Below are 10,581 nucleotides of genomic sequence, written 5' to 3' on the forward strand. Positions count from 1 at the left end.
TCCTACTGAAACTATTCCAAAAAAATGAGGGGTGAGGACTCTTCTCTAACTCATTCTATGAGCTCAGAATTATCCTATTACCAAAACCTGGCAGAGACACAACAGAAAAAGAGAATTTCAGGCCAATATCCTTCATGAACATAGATGGAAATCCTCAACAAAATACTAGCAAACCAAATCTAGCAGCGCATCGAAAAGCTAGTCTACCACAATCTACTTAAGCAGGCTTTGTTCAACATATGCAAATCAGTAAATGTTATTTACCAGATAAATAGAACTAAAAACAAAAACCACATGATCATCTCAATAGATGCAGGGAAGGCATTTGATAAAATTCAACATCCCTTCATGTTAAAAATTAAACATCCCTTTGTGTTAAAAATTCAACATCCCTTCATGTTAAAAATCCTCAACAAACTAGGCATTCAAGGAACATACTCAGCCAACGTCATACTGAATGGGCAAAAGCTGGAAGCATTTCCCTTGAAAACGACACTGAGAAAAGAATACCCTCTCTCATTACTCCTGTAGCACTGGAAGCCCTAGCCAGAAGAATAAGGCAAGAGAAAAAAATAAAAGGCGTCCAAAATGAAAGAGAGGAGGTCAAACTATCCCTGTTTGCAGATGATATGATTCTATACCTAAAAAACCCCAGAGTCTCTGCCCAAAAGCTCCTTCATCTGATAAAAAATCTTCAGCACATTTTCAGGATATGAAATCAATGTACAAAAATCAGTAGCATTCCTATACAACAACAACATCGAATCTCAGAGCCAAACCTACAATGCAGTCCCATTCACAATAGCCACAAAAATAATAAATACAGTTAACCATGGAAGTGAAGGACCTCTACAATGAGAATTACAAAACGCTGCTCAGCAAAATCACAGATGACACAAACAAACAAACAAAAAATACATTTCATGCTCATGGATAGGAAGAATCAATATTATTAAAATGACCATAGTGACCAAACCAATTTATAGATTCAATGCTATTCCTATTAAACTACCAATGATATTCCTCACAGAAGTAGAAAAAAAGTGCTTTAAAATTCGTATGAAACTGAAAAACAGCCTGAATAGCCAACGCAATCTTAAGAAAAAGAACAAAACTGGGAGCATCATATTACTTAACTTCAAACTATACTACAAGGCTACAGTAACCAAAACAGCATGGTACTGGTACAAAGATAGACACATCAACCTATGGAACACAATAGAGAGCCCAGAAATAGTGCCATACACCAAAAACCATTTGATCATCATCAAAATAAACTGAAACAAACAATGGAGAGAGGATTCCCTATTCAATGAGTGGTGCTGGGAAAACTGGCTAAGCATATGCAGAAGATAGGAACTGGACCCCTTCCTTGCACCATATACAAAAGTCAACTCAAGATGGATTGAATACTTAAGTGTAAAACCTAAAACTATAAAAACCCTGGAAGATAACCTAGGAAATACCATTCTGGACATAGGGCCTGACAAAGATTTCATGATGAAGATGCCAAAAGCAATTGAGACAAAAGCAAAAATTGAGAAATAGGACCTAATCAAACTAAAGAGCTTCTGCACAGTAAAAGAAACTATCAATAGAATAAAGAGACAACCTACAGAATGGGAGAAAACATTTCCAAACTATGCATCCAATGAAGGTCCAATGTCCATAATCTATAAGGAACTTAAGCAAATTTACAAGCGAAAAACAACTCCATTACAAATTGGGCAAAGTACATGAACAAACACTTTTCAAAAGAAGACCGACATGCCACCAACAAGCATATGAAAAAATGCTCAACATCATTAATCATAAGAGAAATACAAATCAGCACCATGATGAGATAGCATCTCACATCAAACAGAATAGCTATTATTAAAAAGTTAAAAAATAAAGGTACTGGTGAGGTGGTGGAGAAAAGGGGAATGCTCATATACTGTTGATGGGAATGCAAATTAGTTCAGCCATTATGGAAAGCAGTTTGTTGATTTCTCAAAGAACATGAAACAGAATTACTATTCAACCCAGCCATCCCACTATTGGGTATATTCCCAAATGATATGGGTTGGATCTGTGTCCCCACCAGATTTCATATCAAATTGTAATCCCCAGTGCTGTAGATGGGAGGTGATTGGATCATGGAGGTGTTCTTCATGAGTGGTTTAGCACCATCCCCTTGGTGCTGTCCTCTGGATAGTGAGTGAGTTCTCATGAGATCTGGTTGTTTAAAAGTGTGTAGCACTTTACCCCTTGCTCTATCACTTGCTCCTGCAATGTAAGATGCCTTCTCTTGCCATGTAAGACTCCTTCTTCCCCTTTGCCTTTCACCATGATTGGAAGCTTTTTGAGGTCTCCCCCGAAACAGAATCCACTATGCTTCCTGTACAGCATGCAGAACCGTGAGCCAATTAAACCTCTTTTCTTTATAAATTACCCAGTCTCAGGTATCTCTTTATAGCACTGTGAGAACAGACTAATACAGAAAATTGATAATAAGGAGTGTGGCATTGCTATAAAGATAGCTGAAAATATGGAAGCAACTTTGGAACTGGGTAATGGACAGGATTACCCTGTCTAAAGTGGCATTCAGCCACTTCAGATTGAGCAGTAACAGGTCTGTGATGCTCTTAGATGTCTGGGGCTGCATGCATGCCACAGTGACTGGCTGTCTTCTTCCCTTGGTGGATGCTTGCTTCAGCTCCTCTTGTCATTGGACATCAGACTCCAGGTTCATCTGCCTTTGGCCTCTGAGGCTTGCACCAGCAGCTTGCCAGGGGCTCTCAGGCCTTTGGCTGCAGACTGAAGGCTGCACTGCCAGCTTCCCTGGTTTTGAGGCTTTCAGACTTGGACTGGGCCACTACCGGCTTCTTTCTTCCCCAGTTGCATTCAGCCTATTGTAGAACTTTGTAATCATGTGAGATAACTCTCCCTAATAAACTTCCTTTTATATATACATATATCCTATTGGTTCTGTCCCTCTGGAGAAACTTGACTAATACACCAAGGAAATATAAATTGTTCCACCATAAAGACGCATGCACTTGCATGTTTATTGTAGTACAATTTGCTATTGCAAAGACATGGAATCAACCTAAATGCCCATAAACAGACTGGATAAAGAAAATGTGGTACGTATACACCATGGTATATTCTGCAGCCGTAAAAAAAGAATGAGATCACGTTCTTTATAGCAACATGAATGGAGCTGGAGGCCGTTATCCTAAGCAAACTAACACAGGAAAAGAAAAGCAAATACTGCATGTTCTCACTTACAAGTGAGAGCTAAACATAGAGTACATAAAGACACAAAGAAGTGTACAACAGACACTGGGGCCTACTTGAGGGTGGAGAGTAGAAGGAGGGCAAGGATTGAAAAACTGCCTATTGAGTACTATGCTTATTACTTTGGTAACAAAATAATCTGTACACCAAACCACTACAACATGCAGTTTTTCTATGAAACATACTGGCACATGTGCACCTGAACCTAAAATAAGTATTTTTTTAAAAAAGAATATAAGGATCCTAGGCATGCAGCATATTTGCATGATATTCCAAGAGGAAATTGTTTTTACCTTGAATGGCAGTATAAGGTGTTGGTTAAAAGCTGGCTTAATATCCCGGCTTTCCCAAATTCCAACTCTAAAAAAAAGGAGCTAAATTAATTTTTTATTGTGCTTAATTAAAATTACCTTTTGCAAGTTTTGAGTTCCTCAACCATTTCAATTCTATTTACCAAACACCCCATCTTCCTCTGCATCCTCTTGGTCAACTATGGCAGCATATTTACATATAAATACATGTACCTATGGCACACAACTTCTGATAGCTCCATCTAATGATTTTTGAAATTTACAATGGTGTAAAACCGATACACAATAGGTAGGAACTGTACTTCGAGTGCCCTTACAAGCATTCTGCTTTTCACTTTTAGTACAGTGTTCAATAAATTTTATAAAATATTCAATACTTTATTATAAGATAGGCTTTCTGTTAGATGATTTTACCAACTGTAGGCTAATGTTGTGTTCTAAGCATGTTTAGGATAGGCTAGGGTGGCCTGGTGCGGTGGCTCACGCCTGTAATCCCAGCACTTTGGGAGGCCGAGGTGGGCGGATCACTTGAGGTCAAGAGTTCGAGACCAGCCTGGCCAACATGGTGAAACCACGTCTCTACTAAAATCCAAAAATTAGCTGGGCGTGGTTGCAGGTGCCTGTAATCCAAGCTACTCGGGAGGCTGAGACAGGAGAATTGCTTGAACCCAGGAGGCGGAGGTTGCAGTGAGCTGAGATCGCACCAATGCACTCCAGCCTGGGCCACAGAGCGAGACTCCCTTTCAAACAAAAAAAGCCTATGATGTTTGATAGGTTAGGTGTATTAAATGCATTTTTAATGTGTATTTTCAATTTATGATGTGTTTATCTAGACATAATCCCATCATAAGACAGCAAACATCTGTAAGTCACTCAGAATAGTGTACACACATAGGGTGTGTGTATATTTAACTTTCAAGATGCTTGATTATCATAAGCATTTCAACATATAATCTTGCATTTCAAAATATGCTTCTGTTATCTCATTTAATTAGTGATAGTCATAACTAATTTACAGAAAACCTCTCTTTTTCATCATTTTATAGATTAGGAGACTGAAGCTCAACCAATTAAATAATTTTCTTAAGTATAATTAGCAAGTAAAAGAATGTGGTCAGTAAAACAGAAGATGACTCTAAGAGCAGTTTCTGTTGATAACTTAAAAACCAAGGGAGTAGGGGAAAGGCCAAAACAAAACAACAAAAACCTCAAAAGCCAACAGAAAACTGGCTATGACTCACCTACTTACCTAAGAGTTGAATAGATTTGCGTAAGGACCATACTGCTTTATATTATATAAAGGGGAAGCAATTATGTTAAGCAAGTACTGCCACTTCCTCCTCCTTCATCCATTAAAGTCTTGGTAAATTGCAACATTCATCACTTTACCTACATGAGGACATGTAGTCATTTCTTACACATTACTCCATGAATCTGTTTTGGGGTGTTAGTGTTAGAAGCACAGAGTCTAGAACCACAGTCTCTAATATGAGTCCTTATTACCTCTATTGCTTAACATATCTGTGCCCCACTGTCCTTTGCTGTGATATGGAGATAATAATAGCACCCACTTCAAAGGATTGCTTTGAATCTTTACGTCTTTCTAATTAATTGTTCTTATTACCCCCAAGTAAAGGGATTTGACAGTAAAATGAATCAGATTTTCTCTCCTAGGTTAAAATATGTTAAATAAAATAACAACAAAAAGGCTGGCGTGTGTATAATACATTTAATGTTGGCAAGATGGCCAATATTAATGCACTTTTTTAGTTAAAATGTAAGCTTTAACTATATGAAAACATTGCTAAATTGAGATAGTGGAATAAGGTATTTGTTATCTTTCAAAAATATAACTAATATTATTTTGGGGCTATATTTTCTTATGGGTAACTGGCACATTTTTCTGTAAACCATTATTGCTAAAGTCCATAGCTTTGAATTTCTCTTTAAATCTGCACTGGTCCCTGCTCCCATATTTCCGTCATGTTGTTTTATCTATCAGTGCATTCCTACATTTTGAATGCATTTTGAATTCCTACATTCTGGAAAAAAAATTTATATAAAGAGGAGAAAAAGAACAAATTATTGTTTTACTTTAGAGTTTCATAGTCATTCACATATTTTGAGGTAAATATTTGGACAAGAGAACCACAATTGAAAAAACACTGGGGCCTATACAAAATACGTAATTCTTTTCTAATCTGAATATTTTGAAAAATTTTGACCTTCTTTATGGCCAAGAACATCTATTTCATATGATACGGTATACCAGACTAATTTTAATTTGTATGTTTCTGTTGGTCACAATCATCAAGTAATTATGTTTATAATTATATATACAAGCAATACACTTTTTTTTGTTTTTGTTCCCGTAAGTTTTCCACACTTTTGCATGCTGTTCCAGTACTCCAAATCTTAAAACAAACAACTGAAAACAAAAACAAAAAAACAAGGATGATTAAATAAATTAACTTTCTATATCAGTGGTCTATTCTGCATTAAAAAAAACTTAAAACAATAAAAATTTACCATTACATATTAGTCTGTGGTTGAGCTGAAACTTCTGCTGATCTGAGCCAGGTATGACTGATGTGGAATGACTTGCTCATATGTCTGCATTGAGCCAGTGAGTTGGCCAGAGGCTGGTTCTTACAGGATGGTCTCATTCATATGTCTGATGACTGGATGGATAGGTGTAGGCAGGGGCAATAAGGGTGACTGGTATCTCATCATTCAACAGATTAGCCTGGGCATTAGCCTGGGCTTGATCACTTGATAATGAATGATTCCAAGAGAATGAGTGGAAGCATACAATGTCTCTGGTTCTAGCCTCAAAACTGGCACAACGTAATGCTTGCTGCACTCTATTTGTTAAATAAGTCGCAAGAACACCACAGATCCATGTGGTAGAAAATAGACTCTTTCTTTTGGTGGAATGAGTGACAAAGTCACATTTCACAGGTGCATGGGTAGAAGAACAGGAATAACTGGAGTCACAATTGCAAATGATCCACAATACCCTCTTATAGATGTTTGACTATTTGTGCACTTACCTTTATATACTTACTTAAAAATTCTAGAGGAAGTGAAAATCGAGACATACTACTTGGATTTAGAAATTCAAACTACTTTGTGATGGAAGAAATGGTCTGTTTCTTATTCATACATAAAGTTCATTATAGATAAAAATGTTATCACCTGGCAAAATCAGTTTATTTCTTAATTTAATGCCTCTTAGTTACCAAGTAGCTGTTTACAAATAATGAACACACACAAGAAACTTTTATGTTGAATACATAAATAAGAAAAAAAATGAATAACTACGTCTTATCTAATCACTATATTTTCTTTCGTGTAATGCTACTAGTATATTCATGAAACTAAACATTTGAAGATAAAAATACTTTGTATGTGCATTTTAAACACTATGAGAGACTTCCTAAATTATTTAGCATATTACTGCCATGCTCATATATTATTCTACATACTTCAAATAACTATATTGGTTTGGAAATCCATAATACTCAGAGATTTCCAAATTTCACCCATTGGAATACTTAAATATGTATTATTTGATAGGGAACATTCAAGTATATCCAAATATATTCTAAAAACCACCATAAATATTTCACAGGTGTAGAAGAAATAGGTAGTATAGGATGGGTTTTGCTGCATTAATAGACATCCCAAATATCTCAATGGCTTGATCCAATAAAATAATTTCATGCCAAGTATATTGTACATCTCCCTGACATTCCAGGTCAGCTATGTTGGCTCAAATTTCCAGGATGCACAAATGTTATGATACCTTGTTTTAGGCTGTTCTTGCATTGCTATAAATAAATACCTTATGTTGGGTAATTTATAAAGAAAAGAAAGTTAATTGGCTCACGATTCTGTAGGATGTGTAGGAAGAATGGCACTGGCATCTGCTCAGCTTCTGGGGATGCCTGAGGGAGCTTTTACTCATGGCAGAAGAGGAAGTGGGAGCAGGCATCTCACATGGCAAGAACCGGAGAGAGGCGGGAGATGCCACACACTTTTAAATGACCAGACCTCCCGAGAACTCGCTATCGCAATGACAACACCAAGCCATGAAGGATCCTCCCCCAAGATCCAGACACCTCCAACCAGGCCCCATCTCCAATATGCGGGGTTATTTTGTTTCAACATGAGATTTGGGCAAGGACAAATATCCAAACTATATCATACCTCCATGAAAGTCATGAAAGAGTCAAAAGCAGGTTCACGAGTCAAACTCAAGTTATCCATTACTTTGATCTGAAATTAGTACATATTACTTCCATTTACTTTGTATTAGCCAAAGCAAGTCATGTGGCCACTCCTGTCTTTGCAGGGTGTGGAGTGGTGGCAGTAAGATGCAGTCCTTGCACTCCTTCAGTATGTCTGTAAGGAGAACTGGTAATATTGGTGAACTGAGCTAATGTCCCCCACTATAGCTGTTATTAATTTGGGTGATTAAAAAAATCTTAGTCACACTTTTTCAATAGGAAATTTACAGACTTGAATTCCCCATGAATGTGAGAGAAAAGTGACATACAAATGATGCTCTTCTGGCCTAACAAAGAAAACATAAATTTGCAGCTTTCAGGGAGTGCTATCAATTTAAACGAATTGCTAGGAGTATAGTTATTAAGTAAGATATTTTATCAGAATTCCAGGCTTTTTAAAAATTAAAGTTTATTTTTAGAAGGTATAGCAACTACCTTGTGTTCAGGGTGTCTTAAATATTTTTATCACATGTAAGGAAAGTTTTAAGCAAGGAAAGCTTTAAGACAGCAGAAGAGTGTCTATTTTGTATCCTATAGAAGGGACTATTTTCTCTTGATTTTGTGGAGGTTTCTTTTACGGAAAAACTAAAAAGCTTTTTGTTTTTAAAGCCAAGTAGTGGATTTAAAAAGAAAGAAGGCCAGCAAGAAAAGTGTAAACTTCTGTAACATGGTAAAGAAAGGGCCAGAATGAGATTAAAGTAGAGCATAGGGCATATAATCTTCTGCATCTACACTGATGATATGGTGTATATTAAGTTTTCCTATGGTCATATTTTTCTCTTGATCATCTCCCACATTGGATGCAATAATGTCTAAATTCAGAGAAATTATGCTTTAATTTTTCAGTTATTGTACAGGGAAGATCTCTATAGAACACATGCCAGTCAACTAGGAAGGGTAAAATATTAATATTTCCATATCCATAAATGCAGAATAACAGATATACTAATCAGATTATCTGGTCATCAGCTATTAAGAAATAAGTTGACATCATATGAAGGAGGGCAAATGAGCAATACAAATCTGGTACTTGTTTCTTAATATTTCAGAGAAAAGGAGAAAAGAAAAGGCCTATATACGAAGGGGACTATAATGAATCATTTGGTATTCATATGGCAGCAAAGGAAAAATGTTTATATGTGAGAAGAAATGATAATGGTGGTGAAAGGTAGCCTAGTTGCCCTAAATATAAGACACAGACTTCAACATTTTGCATAAAATGGACCTTGGTTATTTTATTTCAGTCTATTTTACTCCAATCAAATGTTGCTGCTCTGAGATTTAAGAATAGTTTGCCCTTAAATATGATAATCCCAAAGTGAGTAGAATTAGCATGTATCTGTTTGAGGTTTGACATGTATAAACTTTTTGTCGTCATCTGTTTATGTTAATAACATCATTTTGTTAAAATTGGACAAGAGCTGTAGAAAGCACTTGTTGCTTATTTATTCTTATTTACTCTCTTAGCTTGGTTATTTTAAAATACCATATTTATTTATGGAGAAGTTGCTTGTTATACTAGACTTTTCAAGTGTACCTCACTGACAGGAACTTGACCCAGGAAGAAAATTGTGTGTTTGTGTCAGAAAATATTAATCACATAGAAATGTAGATTCAGTGACCTTCATTGCCCTATCTTTTCTCGGATCTCATAAACTGATTTTGGGACTCCGATGGCAAATTTTAATGGAAAACTGCTATAATTGCTTGTAGGCTTTAGAGAGTCAGAATGCAACATCATGCTGTTCAGTCAGTTCAAATCAACACCCACTACACTATTAGATCTATATACAGGCCAGCAGATAGGCTGATATTACCAGAGCTGCAATCTCTTAGGTGATAAGGTATAAATCAAAGCTTAGGAAGCTATATGTAAGGGAATATACAACTCAAAGCCCTTTCTGTTTGGCAATATTAAGATACCACATTGTTTTTCACCCCAAGTGAGGTGAACTAGCCACGGAAAAATTCAAACTTCTAAATATTTGTCATCTTTCTGGAAAAAAAGGGGCTAGTTATGCTCTGTTAAAAAAGTGACTACTTAAGCGATTAACATGACAATCTTCATTGAATTTTAACTTATATTGCCAAGATGCAAGTTTATCCTTCACATTTTGTTGCTAATTTTCAACATAAATATGTGTATGCCAAGTGTTTAAAAATAATACTCTACATTCTTAGATGTGACAAATATGGCATGCACTAATATCTAAGAATGAAAGGGAAGGTTACTCTGAGAGGCTAGATGTGTGTGCTAGTAGGAATCAAATCATTTTTTTCCTCTGTCCTTACTCTTAAGCTACTAAAACTCAGGACTTCATATTTTTTTATGTTATGTTGATGTTATGATCTACAGTGCCAGAGAACCCAGCCTATTAGCCTTAAGCTCATCCATTCTTGCTGAGTATGCTTCTTACACTACTGGCCATTTTGTAAACATGTCCCATTTGTCAAAATACAGACATGGGAGGTATAGATTGCTATTCATTGCATGTGCTGAAAAAAACTGCTGACCATGGACATTTTATTGAATGCCTCTGCAACACCATCTTGAAATATAACAAATCGTATATGAGAAAGTAATAAAGAAGGATTGCTTCAAATTTGTTAATTTACCTATTTTCCTCAAGCACATGTACGTCCATTGTCCGAACAGAAAGAGAAAAAAGCAATATCTTTGGCACTAGCTTCCAGTG

Source organism: Homo sapiens, chromosome X (assembly GCF_000001405.40).
Source record: "Homo sapiens chromosome X, GRCh38.p14 Primary Assembly".
Taxonomy (NCBI): Eukaryota; Metazoa; Chordata; class Mammalia; order Primates; family Hominidae; genus Homo; species Homo sapiens.